Source organism: Homo sapiens, chromosome 9 (genome assembly GCF_000001405.40).
Source record: "Homo sapiens chromosome 9, GRCh38.p14 Primary Assembly".
NCBI classification, from domain to species: Eukaryota; Metazoa; Chordata; class Mammalia; order Primates; family Hominidae; genus Homo; species Homo sapiens.
The window spans coordinates 116,575,629-116,592,999 of record NC_000009.12 but is presented as its reverse complement, the minus strand read 5'-3'; the positions used below and the strand labels follow the sequence as shown (position 1 = coordinate 116,592,999).

Genomic DNA, 17,371 nt, shown 5'->3' with positions numbered 1-17,371 from the left:
AAGGCAGATATTAATGTTAATCATTGCCTGAAAAATTTTAGACCATGACATTCTGATGCACAGCTCATTGTTAGACTTCATCCACATCTCACCTTTATCACTGGGAGAAGGAAGGCAACATTATGAAGGGAAAAGATCCATGAATGGGTTGTAGGAGACTTGCTTCTAATGCTGAATCCCTTTGTGATCTTGAGATTCCCATCTATGGGCCTCAGTTTCTGTATCTGTGAAGTGAAGTGGTTGAATTCAGTCATCTTTGAGAGCTTTCTATCTCTAAGGTTGTATGACTTTCAGCCTTTAGGGATATTAAATGCATATAGTCACCCCTCTGTATCTGTGAGTTTTGCATTCATGAATGCAACCAAGCTCAAATGGAAAATACTTGAAAACATTTTCCACAAAGTTTTAAAAAGCAAAACTTGAATTTGCTGTATGCCCAGTTGATATGGTTTGGGTCTGTGTCCTCACCCAAATCTCATGTAAAATTGTAATCCCCACTGTTGGAGGCGAGGGCTGGTGGAAGGTGATTGGATCTTTGGGGGAGCATTTCCCCTTTGTGGCTGTTCTTGTGATACTGAGTGAGTTATCCTGAGATCTGGCTGTTTAAAAGTGTGTAGCACCTCCCCCTTCTCTCTCCCTCCTGCTCCAACCATGTAAGATGTGCCTGCTTCCCCTTCATCTTCTGCCCATGATTGTAAGTTTCCTGAGGCCTCCTCAGCCACGCTTCATGGCTGTGGAACTGTGAACCAATTAAACCTCTTTTCTTTATAAATTGTCCATTCTCAGTTATTTCTTTATAGCAACGCAAGAATGGACTGATACACTGGTACTATGTTAAATCCACATGAATGAAGTGATTGTAGACATTGTATTAGGTTTTATAAGTAATCTAGAGATGATTTAAAATTTAAGGGAGGATGTGCATAGGCTATATGCAAATACTATGCCATTTTATATATGAGACTTGAGCCACTGCAAATTTTGATATCCAAGGGGGTACCTGGAACCAATTCCCCATAGATACTGAGGGCCAGCTGCACTATTATCTCTTCTTTCATTTATTTGTGGCAGAATGTCTTCATTTATTTTTGAAATTTCTATGGAAGTATAACATTCCCACATAAAAATGCACGTATCATAAGTACATATATGGATGTAATTTTAGGAAGTGAACACAGCCATATAACCAGTACCCAAATCAAGAAACAAATTACCAGCTTCACAGAGCCCACTTTGTGCTCCCATTCAGTTATAGCCTCTTCCTGAAGGTTAAAACACTATCCTTACTTCTAATGCCATAAAGAGATTACTTTTGCCTGTTTTCAAACTTTATGCATTAAAAAAGTTATCCAATATGCATTCTGTTTTTTTCTAGCTTCCCATGCTTATCACACTACAGGATCCATTCATATTGTTGGGTAGAGTCATAGTTATTATTATTTCTCTTGTTCTTAGGAGTAGCTGCCATTTAAAAAGCTGATAGATGTTTTTATATCTAGAGGTAGCAAATTAGCTTGAGGCTGCACTTGGCTTATGCTACCAGCCTGGATCCCATGCCTGCCAAGGGCAAGCCAGCCATGGAGTGGTGAGGGGTGTGTGAGCTAGTGGGTGTGGGGTGCAGCTACTGCACATAGTCAGGCACTCTGGCTGCAGAAGGGCAGGTGGCTTCAGGTTCCGGCATGGGTGCCAGCTCCCTGTGAGGCTACAGCTGGACCAGATGTACCACAAGCAGCTTCCATGGCTGGCACCAGGGAACATGGTGGCATCTGGAAGCTTGGAGATACCAGAGCCCCAAAGAGGGCGTCATGGCCCTGGCTCAGGGAGCTCCTAGGTCTGAGCTCCCTGAACTGCTGCAGCTCTTCTCTCCTCATTGCCTGCAATGTGGTGAGCAAGGGGTGTCTTTCAACCCTGTTTGTGTTAGAGCTTTTTCAGCCCTGCCATTTGGCAAGTCTCGAGTTCTTGTCCTGCTTCCAGGAAAAATAAGGTACACAGACAAGTGAAGGGTGAGCACGGCAAAGAGGAGCTTCATTGAGTGACAGAACAGCCCTCAGGAGACTTGAAGTGGGTAGCTCCTTTCTGAAGGCAGGTCATCCTGATGAGTGTCCAGCTCTCTAGCTCTCAGCAGAGAGGAGACCTACAATGGGTCACTGCTTTCCATGGGCAAGTCGAGGAGACCAAAGCTCCTTCCTGGGTAGCTCAATCCTGCAGCTGATAGTCCTGACATCTATCTGAGTCTGGCTGAGTCCGGAGTTTTTATGGGCTTCAGGGAGGAGGAACTGTATACTGATTTGTCCATAGGTGTCCATGGTCAAGTCTGGAAAAATCACTGTAAGTTCTCACTCTGGTCCATAGATCTGGCAGCCCAGCCCCCAGGGTTCAGGCCATCCCAGGCCTGAAGGTGGGGCTGCACTGGGGACCTGCCCCTTTCCACACAGGAAACTCTCTGCCTCCTGCTGCCGTCAACCTGCCATCCCTGGCACCAGGTTGTTCATACTGAGGGGTGCCTGCTGGCCTGTGCAGAGCTGTCCCAGCCCCTTTCCCGTGCTTATTGGCACCCAAAGTCTTGAGAGGGCCAAGGCAACAGGGGGCTGGCATGTCAGCACTGCCCTGAGCTCACATGCACCCAGCCAGGTCACAACAGTGCCTGGGCCCAACCTCAACTTTGATCTGAAATTGGAGGGGCTGCTTGAAGCGGGGAGAGGCCAGGCAGTGGGAGCAGGTATTTCTGAGCCTGTGGGGGAAGGGGGTGATCCCCAGGTCCCTGAGACTGCAGGAATGCCTGGATCCACAGCTGCAACTGTGTGGCCACACTGTGCCTCGGAGGGTGGGGCTCCCGCTCCTCCAACTTGGAAGTGGGTGGGGCTTCTACCTGTTCCTAGCTCCTGCCAGCTCCATGGAGCACTCAGCCCCTGCTGCATCTCCCCTGCTGCAGCCGGTGTCTTTGCAGTGGCCGCTTCATATGGGCTGCCACTGCCATTAGTAGGCTACCCCTCAATGACCACCTCAGTGAGTATGCATAGCCCAGATGCCCCTGTGGAGTGGCTGTGAAAATTTGATTATAAATCTAGGAACTCCTGGGAATAAATGGGTGGAAGGTTCTGATCTTCTTCATGTGAAGTGTAGAAACTCTACAGTGGGTTAAAATTGTCCCAACATCTAGGGGGACTTATCATGAGGGAGGAAGATGTCTGATTGGTATGACAGGCTCAAAGCCACAGTATGTACAGCCACTTTGCCACAGTAGGCATGACCTGAGAATGAGGAATGAAACATAAAACTAAAGAGTTGGAGGCTTGGGAGTCTAAGCTTGAGCCTGTTGTCACTGAGGGAGTGGGATTGCCCTCTACTGGAGAAACACTGTAATCTGTTTAAGGCTCCTTTCTATTCCCTTCGCCTCCACCATGACTTGACACAGAGCCATGCAGAATCTTTGTTTTCAATAGTGACATCATGTGGCAGTGGCAGGAATTACAGGCACAGAAAAAAACGAAGACCTGTTGCATTTCTCCCTTCTCTCTCCACAACTCATTAGGAACCTTGATTAAGAAACTCCTGGAATTCTTTTACAATCCAAAGGGAGAAAGGTTAGTTCTGAGAGGGACACTATACATATCAACACTGCACATGAGAGACCAAGAGAGCGATTCATCAAAGTAAATGTTTGTACTCCATTTTGAAGTTGTCTACATGATCATTCATTCATTCAGCAATTATTTAATGAATTTCTGTTAACTATGTGTCCAATATGCTTGGCACTTTTAAAAGTAATACATCTTTAATTGCAATCTATTTCTCCTTTCAGCTCTCTTTCATTCCTCCTACCTTTCTTAATGCAACCAGTATGTTGAACTACAGCCAGAAGGTTCCCTGTGACCACACCCCCCTGGAAATGTTTGATGATAAATAATTTAGTGGGGAGAGTTATCCTTGTTGGACATATTAAACACTGAATACGTATTTGCTAATTATTGGGATTATTTCTGTAACTGTAGAATTATATGACCTTTCTCCAAATCTTCCTCCCCAAGTCAATTCTTGACCTCAATTTACACTGAAAGAAAAAGAGAAATTTTTTGGATCAGTTCATGTCTGTTTCCTTATAGGTCTGTATTTCTTAGATCCCAGAGGGATAACCTCTTTTTCTTTATTTACCTTGTCTGTGTTGCTAAGATGTGGGTCAGCTACCCATATAAAAGTGGATAATCCAGCCATTTTTCAAAAACGTTGAAGTATGAACTATGCACTTAAGATCTGTATGTAAGTGGCATTCTTCAATTTTAAAAAATCAGTGTGAATAGGTGTCAGAGAAAAAAAACTACCATTTCTTGAGCGTTCCAGCATAATATTCTAAAGCTATATAATAGGAAGTGTATCATCCCATTTTATTGATGAAGACACTATTATTATGACAGATTAAGTAACATATCCAAGATCAAGTGGTTTCCAGTTTTAACTCATCATAGTTTCAAAGCCTATCCTAATTCCCACCCCAGGACCCATTAAGACTTCAGGTTCTTAGATATCTTTGCTTCAGAAGCCCTGGCATGATCATCCTTTTGTCTGTTGCTATGACCCCACTGTCACTGCTCAGTGAATAAACAGACTATCGGTTCCCAGGTCTGTCAATCTGCTCCATTTTGTAACTCTGAAATGTGCTGCTAAAGTATTTTCCAAGAGACAGTGAAACAAAAACATGTCTTTCAATAGAAGGTCAGAATTTTGGAAGGACCTTTTTGGATTTTAACATTAATATTGGGCATTAAGTTCTTCTTAAGCAGAGCTGAATTTTTCCCTTTGGGTTAGAGGGATGGGTTTTCAATGACCAGTGTCATTTGGGATCCTGGAAAGCAGCGGGTAGATATTTTTGGCATGTTTCATGCCCAGTGCCTCATTCTCCAGCTGGCTCAGGTTTCTGGGTGGAGTTTCAGTTTTGTAGTAACACTGTAGACCTAGGAGAGAAGTCTGGCCAATTTCCCCTCAGGTCACTCTAAATGACAATAAAAAATACTGGTAACCTTTTCACAGAGCAGACATTGAAATGGGGCTTTCAAACTCTTCTCTACATGGAAGTACAATCCCTTTAAGACTGGAAGAATAATAAGGAGATACTGGAATGCTTCTCTCAAAGGGCCTGGGCATAGAATATGAGCATCTCCTGCCTTTCAGTAATGTATTCTACTTTATAAACTATTTTATACATAGTCTCATCCAGTTGCCTACAACAGTCCTATAATGTGGTGTATCCTTGGACTCATTTTCCAGATATGTCAATAGAAGCTCAGAAGGGGACAGTGACTTAACCAAGGACATATAACTAGTAAGAAGTGCAGTTGGGATGTAACCACTAAGGATTCTTGCTCCTGCTGTCAACCAGTTACTCTACAAGGATTTGGAGTAATCACAGCAAGTCCTGGAAGCTTATATCATTATCCCTACTATATAAATGGGAAAACTAAAACCTGAGAATGGTAGTGTGGGTAGCCTAAAATAAATCACATGGCTCACTACCAGCAGAAGTGACCATAGGTTGTCTAACCCTGAGTCCATACCAAGATCCTTCTTGGTAACCCTCCACATCAAAGAATGGGTCTCTCATAAGATTGCCTGAGATCTGATCTTCTATAACAGTGTGCTTTTTTTTTTTTTTTTTTTTAAATTTGAGATGGGGTCTTGCTCTGTCACCCAGGCTGGAGTGCAGTGGTGTGATCTTAGCTCACCACAACCTCCTCCTCCTGGGTTCAAGCAATTCTCCTGCCTCAGCCTCCCAAGTAGCTGGGATTACAGGCATGCGTCACCACACCCAGCTAGTTTTTGTATTTTTAGTAGAGATGTGGTTTCACCATGTTGGCCAGGCTAGTCTCAAACTCCTGACCTCAGGTGATCCGCCCACCTCAGCCTCCCAAAGTGTTGGGATTACAGGCGAGAGCCACCACGCTTGGCCCAGTGTTGCTTTTTAATTGTTGATTTTAGGAAAGCAGATTTCTCCAGATGGGAATTGGTGGCCTCTGTAGATGAGCAGTTGCTGATGAGTTAGCAGAATCTTCAACTTGAGAGCGTGGCTCCTCTCTAAACTCAAAGTCACTGTCAGGATTTTGTCCATAAAGATCTCATTAAGATCTCATTATTATATATACATACGTGTGTGTGTGTGTGTGTGTGTGTGTGTGTATGTATGTGTGTGTGTGTGAATTTCAACTGGTATTTTAGATTTTTGGATTCAAGGGGTACATGTTCAGGTTTATTACATAGCTCTACTACATGATGCTGAGGTTTGGGATATGAATGATTCCATCACCCAGGTAGTGAGCATAGTACCCAATAGGTAGTTTTTGAGCCGGATCTCTCCCTCCCTCCCCCTTCCTATAGTGCCCAGTGTCTATTGTTGCTATCTTTATGCCCATGGGTACTCAATGTTAAGCTCCCACTTATAAGTGAGAACACAAATATTTAGTTTCCTGTTCCTGCATTAATTTGCTTAGGATAATCGCCTCCAGCTGCATCTATGATGCTGCAAAGAACATGAGTTCATTCTTTTTTAAGGCTGTGTAGTATTCTGTGGTGTGTATGTACTACATTTTCTTTATCCAGTCCACTGTTGATGGGCACCTAGGTTGATTCCATGTCTTTGTTATTGTGAATAGTGCTCCAATGAACACAGAAACATAGATGTCTTTTTTGTAGAAGGATTTATTTTCTTTTGGATATATACCCAGTAATGGGATTGCTGGGTTGAATGATAATTCTAAGTTCTTTGAGAAATCTCCAAACTACTTTCCACAGTGGCTTAACCAATTTACATTCTCACCAACAGTGAATAAGTGTTCCCCTTTCTGTACAGCCTCATCAGCATCTGTTGTTTTTTGACTTTTTGATAATAGCCATTCTGACTAGTGTGAGATAGCACGCAATTGTGGTTTTGATTTCTGTTTCTCTGATGACTAGTAATGTGGAGCAGTTTTTCATGTTTATTGGCTGCTTGAGTGTCTTCTTTTCAGAAGTGTCTGTTAATGTCTTTTGCCCATTTTTTTATTGGAGTTATTTGTTTTTTGCTTATTAAGTTTCTTACAGAGTCTGAATATTAGACTTCTGTTGGATGCATAGTTTGAATATTTTCTTTCATTCTGTAGGTTGTCTGTTTATTGATAATTTCTTTTGCTGTGCGAAAGCTCTTTAATTAGATCCCACTGTCAATTTTTGTTTTTGTTGCAGCTGCATTTGAAGACTTAATCATAAATTCTTTCCCAAGGCTGACATTGAGAATGGTGTTTTATAGGTTTTCTTCTAGGATTCTTATAGTTGGAGGACTTAAATTTAAATCTTTAATCCATCTTGAGTTAATTTTTGTATATGGTGAAAGGTAAGGGCCCAGTTTTATTCTTCTGCATGTGGCTAGCCAGCTATCCCAGCACCATTTACTGAATAAGGAGTCCTTTCTTCATTTCTTACTTTTGTCAACTTTGTAGAAGACCAGATGGCTTGGGTGTATGGTTTTATTTCTGAGTTCTCTATTCTGTTCCATTGGTTTATGTGTCCATTTTTGTATCAGTCATAAAGGTCTCATTCCAGAAATCAGTAAGTAATTAACCAAAGTCCAAACACCTTCTCAGAGTAATCACTACCAATTACATACTGCACACATCTGTATGACAGGCACTCTACTGGGAACATCAAATACATTTTCACAAATTCTTCCAGCAATTCTATAAGCTAGAAGTTGTTATTCTCATATTGAAGAGGAGAAAATTGATGCTCTGTCAGGAGAAATCACTTGTCTAAGGCAGAATTGGGATTTGAATCCAGGTCTATCTGAGTCCTTGCCCTTAACGGTATGCCAAACTGTCTTTCAATTCCTGAACCAGATAATTTTTATATATATATAAAACCAGGTCAGTCTTATGCCCAGCACAGTGCTTGTTCTTATAGACCATAGTCTAGATCAAAACTACTCAAGTGTTGCTTCTTCCACAAAGGCTTCTTGACCCTTTCAGCACAAAGTCTTTTCCTTCTCAACATAGTGCACTCACTCATTCTCTCTACCGTTTATTTGGCATACTCCATTCTTTGTCTTGGAGTACCTCTTCTGTATCAGAGTTGGAAGGATCTTAAGAGATCATCTAGTCTTGCTTTCTCTTTAACATTTTTGTATGCCCTTGAACATGCACTGGTAACATGCCTCCAGTGTTGGAAAACTCAGTTCTTCCTAAAGTGTTCTATATGTATGATCATGTCATCTGCAAACAGAGACAATTATACTTCTTCCTTTCCAATTTGGATGACTTTTATTTATTTATTACTTGTCTAATTGCTGTAGCTAGGACTTTTAGTACTATATGAACAGAAGTGGTAAGAACAGACATCTTTGCCTTTTTTCTAATTTTAGACGTTTAGTCTTTCACCATTAAGTATAATGCTAGTTGTATTTTTTTATGGTATATGCCCTTTATTACATGGAAGGAGGTATCTTCTATTTCTAGTTTGCTGCAAAAGCTTTGTTTTGTTTCCATTTGAAATGGATGTTGAATTTTCTGAGTCTATTGAAATGATGGTAGTGGGCTATAGTTTATCTTTCTAAGCACTTTTCTCTTGGAATTTTTTGGGCCTGAGTATAAAGTTCATCATTGATAGCAGGCCATTTGTCCAGTGAGAGATCAGAATGCCCCAGATAGTACCTAGGGATTTCGGGCAAGGAGAGTAATGCTGTCTTCACCCCCATGGTCCTCCTAAAGCCAGGGCCTTGCCTCCAGCATTGTTCTGGGGCCTGGAACACTGAGATCTGGGGAGACACATCACTCAAATTTCCTGGAAAATTCCGTTTAATGAATGACCCACCCATTCTCTCCTAGCTCCTTTGCTTCTTCCTGAGTGAGACTTAATCTCAGCAACTGGGTTACCTCACATTTCACTTTGTTTAGAAAGGATCAGGTTTTCCTCCTCTTAATTGGGTGATTAGGCCTTTGTGAGCTCACAGATCTAATCTTGAGATTTGGGTGGGTTGAATTTGGTTATGGAGACATAATAGGAAATAGTGTTTTGGGGAGTTTGGGTTAGAGGGAGTGATTGAATATATTCCTCAGTCAGAGGTCTTGTTTGGGGGCAGGCAAGAGTTTCTCCCATGAAGATGGTCTCTTCTACATCTAAAAGAGTCGGCTCAGTGACTCTCTGATGTAAATTCATGTACAACAGAAGCTTGGGATGGGAGACTGTCTGCCTCGAGTTATGCACCTTTTTGCTTTGAGGACCTGTCCTCCTTGCCATTTCAGACTCAAGGTGTGTGAGTGGGTGTGGTATAGCAGGAGTTCAGGACTTCTGGTTCTCTTTGGTTCCAACTTCAATTAAGCTATCAACTTTCTCTGTGGCTTTTGGAAAGTTGCTTTTCCTCTCAGGCTCTGTTTCACCTTCTGAAAACTTTTTTTTTTTTTTAAGGTAAGGATCTATGTCTGCCACAGTCTCATTTTGAATTAAGGCTTTATGTAGTTAAGGATGCCTAACCAGCACATGTACAGAACAGCGTGCCTAGCACTGGGCAAAGTGCTGGGTATTCGATGATGAGCAAGAATAGGCAAAAACTCTGCCTTCTTGAAATTTAGGATTAAATTGGGAACATAAGTAATAAGCAATTAACTTTAAGCAGAGACTCCTCTGGAGGGAGATCATGGCATTCCATAGTAGTGTGTAGCCAGCAATTTTAACCTGTTGTTGAAAAACTATGTTAAAATAAAATAAACATTTATTCATGGGATCCAAGAAAAGTTCTCTCTTCAGAAGCAGATGTTCCTGGTTGATTAATTAGACAAATCACTTTATTAAAGATCAACTGGTTATCTAAAGAGTCCAAGGAGAACTGCATGACTATGTACTTCCTGGGCTGGGAACCTCTGCTGGAAGGAAGGATCCTGAATCAAGTGGGGCTGGACCACTGGAAGTTTAAAGGATTGCCTAATTCTGTATCAGTGTGATAATTTGATTAATATCTGCAAGCTCCAGGAGAGCAGGGCCTAAGTCTGTGCCACTCAGCATTGCATTCCAAGACTCTGGTACAGTGTCTGGCACATAGTCAGCACTTAACAAATGTTGAATGAATGATGTCGAGAGGAGACAAGACAGGGACCAGATCTCAGAGGGATAAGAAAACAGGCTAAGCTACTTGGACTTTATCCTGTAGGAAAAGGGGAACCTTTGAAGCCTTTTGAGGATCGTAAACATAATCAGAATGGTGCTTTGGAAAGAAAGATAACTTTTCTAAACCTCCTGATCACGGTTTCTTGTTTCTTTTGCTCAACTGTGAACTTCCTGATAGATCTTTTCTCATGCTTACTGGTGTTTACACAGTTTCGTGCACAGAGAAAGTACTTAGGGAACATTGGTAGCATGAGTGAATGGAAGAATAAACAAACAAAGGTACAATAACAACAAAAAGTGGCTGGGTAGATGAAGAGAACGGTGTTCAGCACAGGCTTGGAGTTAGTTTGATATCTGAAGTCTCAGTTACATCACTTACTAGTTATGTGGCCTTGGGTACAATACTTTCTTTTGGCTTTGGGTCTTAGTTTGACTCTTAACTATGGACATTAGTATGTGGCACATAATAGGCATTCAGTAAATTTGACCATCATTATTTGTATTCTTCCTTTCATGGGGAAGATACATGGTTTTCTAGGAAAGCTGCAAAGGAGAATCCTTGGACCCTTCCCTCATTCTCTTCAAAGTTTATAATACAGTCTTACAAACCTTAGAGCTGCTAGTCCATGTAGATCACTCCGTACAATCCCTTCATTGTATAGCAAGAAAATTGAGTCCTGGAGACAGGAAAGGACTGATCCTAGGTCCTGCAGCATGTTAGAGGCAGAGCTGGGCCTTGAGCCCAAGTCTTGTGGTTCATTGCTCTTTCTTCACATATGGACAGTGAAATTATCAATTAAACTCGGCTTATGACTTTGCCCTTACACATTCCTCAAGGTCAATGGAAATTGTTCTTTTGGCTTGTATATAATGTAGCCTTGGCCATTCCATTCCTTTTGCCCAAAAGGTAGTTTTTTGTTTCTTTTTCTCCCCTTCCACCTCCCTGGGGAAAGAATAGTCAGAAAGGATGGGATTAGTTAAAGTTAAAGATAAGATTCACCCCTGCAGCCGTTCTTGCTGTGTCCAGTATTGTCTGAATAAACTTAAACTCCTACAAGGGCTCTTAGACCTAGGCTGTGTGGATGGGTCCAGAGATTGTGGTAGACTATAAGTGAACTAATTAAGAAGAGATGAATGAATGAAGAAAAATGATCACAGTGGAGTTGCCACAAAGGGTCAGAGCAAGGATATGCTCAGAGACCATCTCACTCAACTTTCCCATTTTGCATAGAGATGAGGCAAGATTAGCTCAGATCATGCAATATGTCAGTGCAAAGTGGCAAGACAATTGGATATGAGGACCAGAACTAAGGAAGAATATCCGTCTGGGCAATAGAATTTGGGGGGTTGTCGGGTTAAAGGTGAAACAATGCATGTCTATATATTATCTTGATAAAGCCAACTGACCAAAAGGAGAAGTGGGCTTGAAACTGAGGACAATGCAGGAGCAACATGATAGAATGACTACGGGAACTGGGGCACCAGGTAACCAGGGAAAGAAGCCTTAAAGAAGTAAGGTAGTGGTCAACTGATTGGAGATGTAAGTTTCCAGGTCATGGTGGTGGTAAATGGCAGAGCCAAAATTTGAACCCAGGTCTGTGATTCCAGAGGCCACTCCCCTTCCAAAATGCCATGTTGCCATCCAGCTGAGACAAGCTTGATGGCAAAATATCCATGATAGCAAGCAGCACTGTCTTTTTGTTTCCCTGACTCTCTGGCTTCCTAGACCCCAAATGCCCTCAGAAAAGACTGAAGCTTAACGGCAGGAAGGTCAACCAGAACTTGAAACTCACTCTGAGAACACTAAGGCTCATTTCTGCCAAACTTTCTCCCCACCCCCATCCCCAGGGAAAAGAGTCCAACAAAACTTCAATTCACTTGTAATTGCTCCACTCCCAGAATTAGAAGGATTTTTTTTGTTGTTGGTCTCCTTCTAACACCCTCAACTGATGCTTTCACAAAACTGTTATTTTAGGGCTGTTTGGACTTGTTTTCTACATAGCTCTTGTTTTCTATTATTTCTCTCTTTTTCCAGGGTTCAGACTAATTAAAGGAAGTGTAAATCACACCTCGTTTGCACAAAATACCTTTCATGAGGTCTGGAAGCAATTTAGCTTCTGTTTGCCAAAGATCTTTAGGAAAGAAAAAAAAATCCCTTTGGTTTAAAAAAGATTAATTTCTTGGTGCCAAAAAAACCCATTAAGTGCACCTCCCACTTCTGGGATCTTTTATGGTTTTCATGTGAAAATGGCAGCCAGAAAAAGAGAGCGGGAAGACTAGGCTGGTTCTGCAATTATGGCTGGCCATCCCTTGCCACCAGCTTAGCAGCCCTGCAGCAAAGCACAGGTTTAGAACACAGCCTGGTGTCACAGGGTATTCAGAGTAACTGGAAGATTTTTTGCTGGCTGTCTTCTGCTCCCCTTTTCTCACCCCAGATTCTAATAACCCCTGATCAATGTTCTCCCAGGGCCATGGGTCCTTGATGTGGGATGAATCTTGTCAGCAAGGTTGTGGACAAGGGGGCAGAGCTGTCACCTTGGGCTACCTCTTGCCCCTCTATTAGAGACCTACTCCTTATTTCAAGTCTTCCTGTTTCCTCTCCCCTGCCCCATACCTCTGCCTCTTCTGCTCTGTATATGTTCACCTTTGCTCTGAGAACTAATCCAGTGTATTTCCTCTGAGCTGCTAATGTCCCAAAATGTGAAACAACGAAGGGCCTCTAGTTATCTTCTAACTTTCTTACTTTAAAGATAATGTGACTGGCCGGGTGCGGGGGCTCACGCCTGTAATCCCAGCACTTTGGGAGGCCAAGGTGGGTGGATCACGAAGTCAGGAGTTTGAGACCAACCTGATCAACATGGTGAAATCCCGTCTCTACTAAAAATACAAAAGTTAGCCGGGCGTGGTGGCACGTGCCTGTAATCCCAGCTACTCAGGAGGCCGAGGCAGGAGAATTGCTTGAATCCAGGAGGCGGAGGTTGCAGTGAGCAGAGATCGCGCCACTGCACTCCAGCCTGGGTGACAGAGCAAGACTCTTCAAAAAAAAAGATAATGTGACTTAGGTGTGACTTAGGGCCAGTGAGGGGGAATTGTTTGCCCATAGTCCCACACCTATGGCACAGCAGAGCCGGGGTTATTTTATTTTATGTATTTATTTATTTACTTTGAGATGGGGTCTCACTATATTGCCCAGTCTGGTCTCAAATTCCTGGGCTTAAGTGATTCTCCCACCTCAGCCTCTCAAGCCGCTGGGTCTACAGGCATGTACCATTGCGCCTGGCTGGAGCAAGGGTTAGCCCTTAGGGCCAGACACTAAGTATAATGTTCCTTTCACTCTTTCATAAAGATGACTTTCTCACAGTGGAATTTCTGACAGCAAGATGGTAAGAGAAAATGTTGTAGGCTTCGGAGGGGTGGTGTTTGCTCTGCTTCTCACATTATACCCTGATAATGGTTGTATCCGTTACCTTCTCATAACATCGGTCATGAGAAAGCAAGATATGAGCTAGGCTAACCATCAAGGAGGTTGTGGTAGATTGCAGCAGAAACAGAAAACACTTTATGACAGACAGATCCAGTGTTTGAATCACATCTTCCAGACAGATCCTGTGTTTGGATCGTATCTTCCTGCATTTTCATCTGGATGACACTGGGCAAGTCACTTCACCTTTCCAGGCATTGATTGCCCCATTTGTAAAATAGAGATATAAGTACCACCCTCCTACAAATGTTGAGACACCTAAATGAGTTAGTGGGTGTAGTCATCCCACAGTAGCAAATCAATACTTGGAGGCTGTGGTTTTTCCAGGTGCCTTACCTTTTTTTTTTCCTTTCGACTCTACTATTTTGAGAATCACAGGTGCCTCACTTCTTGAGAACAAATACCTGTGAATGTGGACACTTCTTGCCCACCCCTCTTCCTCTAAGTGCGGAATTTACTTCCTAAGAAAATAAGTAAATAATAATACAAAAATATTTGGAAGTTTTTAAAGCATGAAATTTCCAGGCTGTTTTTCTGCTGCTCAGAGCCTTCTGTAATTCTGTGGACAATAATAACTTTATCCAAGAATGTATTACATATTAGGTTTCCTCAGTTGGTATTTTTTTTTTCCATTTGAAAAACGCAGCTTTTTAAAATAAAGTGGAGTCGGACAGGTAGAGTTTGGGGGAAAAACAATGGTGTTGTTTCAGGGATTGGTACTGTACAGTAGAAACACACACACACACACACACACACACACACACACACACACACACACACGTTGGAGCCAGACGGCCTGGGTTCAAATCCTGACTCTGCTACTTCCTATTTACATGGTTGTAGACACATTTTTTTTTTGCATTTCTGGAATTCTGATTTCATAATTTCAAAATGAGGATTATAATTCTCATAATATCTAGTGATTATTATAAGAATTAAAAATGTTCTTAGAACATTTGTCAGGAGGTGTAGCCCGTGGTAGATATTCACATTGTTACAGGAGTGAGTGAGAGAGAGAATTCTAGAAAAAAGGACGTGAGTAGTTCCAGAAAGGATCCTCAGAATCAGAAAAACAGAGTTTGGGTCCTAGTTTTAACAATGATGGGGACTTAGTTTCCTGAGACTCAATTTTTCAGTCAATCAAATGGAATTCAACACAGTATCTCTGACACTTGTCCTGTCGTCTCTGGGCTCACTGCCCCTTAGCCTGAGCCCCTGTCCTCATCATTGCTCTTCTGGGTTATTGTAAATGTTTTCTTAACTAGTCTCCCTGTCTCCATTCATTCTTCCCCTATTACCTCTCTGGTTCACTTTCCACTCTGTAGTCAGAGAAAGGATCCTAAAGCCCTTCATAATTATCTTTTGCCTTCAGAGTAAGGTTCCCGTTTCTTAGTGTGGTTTATAACATTCTCCAAAATCTTACCCCTTCTTGCATCCCCCAATGATCTCCTCTCCCATCCCCTGGCTCTGCCCTGCCCACCCTTATCTCTGGTCACTGCAAGTTTAAATCCCTCTGCTGAAATGCCCTTCTACCTCAACCTGAGATTATCAGAAGAGATTCACCTACAAGCCCCCTAATTATTGGATTGATAATTTAAATCAATGATTCTATCCCTTCTAGCTTCAAGTTGCTCATCTGTAAAATAGGGACCATCAATCCCTTCTCCACAGGGTCAAAGGAAAAATTAGATGAGATAACTAACATCACTTGTTCAGCACTTGGCATAAACTAAGTACTTTTCACAGGATTAGTTCTCCCTTTTTTTGTTCTCTTCAACTCAACTCAGACACTGTTTTCATAGACCCAGTGCTCATCACACTGGATCATAACATACATTCTTTTTTCTTTTTCTTTTTCTTTTTTTTTTGAGACACAGTTTCATTCTGTTGCCCATGCTGGAGTGTGGTGGCATGATCTCAGCTCACTGCAGCCTTGACCTCCCCCGGGCTCAAGTGATCCTGCCTCAGCCCCCCAGCATAGCTGGGACAACAGGCACAAGCCACCACACCCAGCTAATTTTTGTATTTTGTTTTATAGAGATGGGGTTTTTCCATGTTTCCCAGGCTGGTCTGCAACTCTTGAGCTCAAGCAATTCAGTCACCTTGACTACCCAAAATGCTGAGGTTACAGGCATGAGCCACCGTGCCTGGCCTATAACATGTATTCTTGTGTCTTCCCATTTTACTGGCCTCTGAGTTAGTTCTTTGAAAGTCACTGTAGTTCTGCACTTGGATTCTGATTTCAGATCCTAGCCCCATCACCAACTGTGCGTGACTTTGGATGAATTAGTCTGAGCCTCAGTTTCCTCATCTGTAAAATGGAAATAACCACAGCATCTATTCACAAGGTTGTTGTTAGGATTAAGTAAGAAAATGCACATAAAGTCCTTAGCAGAGCTCCTGGCACACAGGAAGAACCCTATAAATGTTTACTGTTATTGTTGGTGTTGTTTTTGGTATTCCTAGTGCCTGGCCCAGGGAAGAGATGATGATTGTTGAAAGGATAAAAGTGCTTTATAAGCAAGGTAAGGGTGGGATGAGCTTTCTGATGGTTTTCAAAGGAGAGATGGTAAAAGATCCAAGGTGGGGCTTGCTTTGTGTGATTATGGGATCAAGCCAGAACACTTCTGTACACCCTGAGCTGTACTCTTTCCCTCTTTTATTTGAGATTTGGGAAGGGGGTAAGAAGGGGAGAATGCCCGAAACGTTCATTGTGGGGCAGGCACAGGCACAGGCACACAGAGTACCAACAACACATGAGCCAGCAGGGCCGTTCTTGCTAGTGTGCTGTAATCCTGTCCTGAAGCACTTCCTGCATTCCTGTCCCGGCCTAGCATCCTCTCATGCTCTCCCTGTGGCAGTGCCAGCCTGTAGGATCATCCCCTCCTACCCTGGCCTCCCATGGGGGCCACCTAAATCATCTTGCCTTTTCTTGGTTTGATGGGAAGCTCTTTGTTTTGGCTAAAATACTATGGGCTTGGGTGGTAGAACATCCTGAGTTTGAATTCCAGCTACTGCTTACCAGATTTGTAATTAGGTCAAATAACTCAATATCCCTGAGCCCCAGTTTTCTTGCATGTATAATAGGGATATTAATCCCCATTCACAAGGTTGTCATGAGAGATATGTGAAACACCAGGTCGTATGCCTAGTCAGTGCCTGACATATTAGTAACTGCTTCTTAGGGGACTGATCAGTCCTCCTTCCTCTTTTCATTGTCCACAGCTGCATCTGGCCACTGCTCCACACCGGCCTCCTGGATATAGGATGAATTCCCTGTAAAAGGGAGAGTTCAAAGTGAGGCCAAATGGCACCCAAATGCAAATAGAGGGGTGGGGCGCTCAATAACCTTTTGGGTTCATTGAAACTTATAATTCTGCTACTTTGTAAAATGCTTCCCAGGTTGGGAAGGTCAGTGTTGGGACAAAGGGCCACTCATGAGCTTCCTCCTCCCTCTTCCTCTCCCCATCACCAGTGCCCTGAGCTTTTCTCCTTTTAGCACATTGCCAGAGAGTTGCCCTTTAGCTGGATAACTCCCCAGCATGTATTCTCATTTCCCTTATCAGCTCACTATGCAATGAATCTGTTCACATTCTCCTGCCTAGCTTTAGTGTACAGTCCAATATACAGGGAGAGGCACACAGTCAATATTTTGAGGGGAAAATGATTAAGGAACTTGCTTTTGGGACTATCTGCAGTAGTCAGCACCCCCTGAACTTTCTACTGCAGACTCTCTCAGACAGTGCCTTTTCTATATGAACAATGTTAGGA

General features: G+C 42.6%; 1 protein-coding gene across 7 annotated transcripts in view, besides 2 other annotated features; it reads left to right on the top strand.

Annotated features, from left to right (window-relative positions):
* ASTN2 (astrotactin 2) overlaps positions 1-17,371 on the top strand; it is a 991,946-nt gene that overhangs the window by 822,058 nt on the left and 152,517 nt on the right. The gene's annotated exons all lie outside the window — the stretch shown is intronic.
* Positions 2,041-2,598: an enhancer, noted in NCBI's record as "H3K27ac-H3K4me1 hESC enhancer chr9:119352681-119353238 (GRCh37/hg19 assembly coordinates)". NCBI's record gives its function as "activates a minimal SCP1, AML or CMV promoter by ChIP-STARR-seq in naive H9 embryonic stem cells {active_cell/tissue: H9 hESC(naive)}" and the evidence as "EXISTENCE:reporter gene assay evidence [ECO:0000049][PMID:30033119]".
* Positions 2,599-3,158: an enhancer, noted in NCBI's record as "H3K27ac-H3K4me1 hESC enhancer chr9:119352121-119352680 (GRCh37/hg19 assembly coordinates)". NCBI's record gives its function as "activates a minimal SCP1, AML or CMV promoter by ChIP-STARR-seq in naive H9 embryonic stem cells {active_cell/tissue: H9 hESC(naive)}" and the evidence as "EXISTENCE:reporter gene assay evidence [ECO:0000049][PMID:30033119]".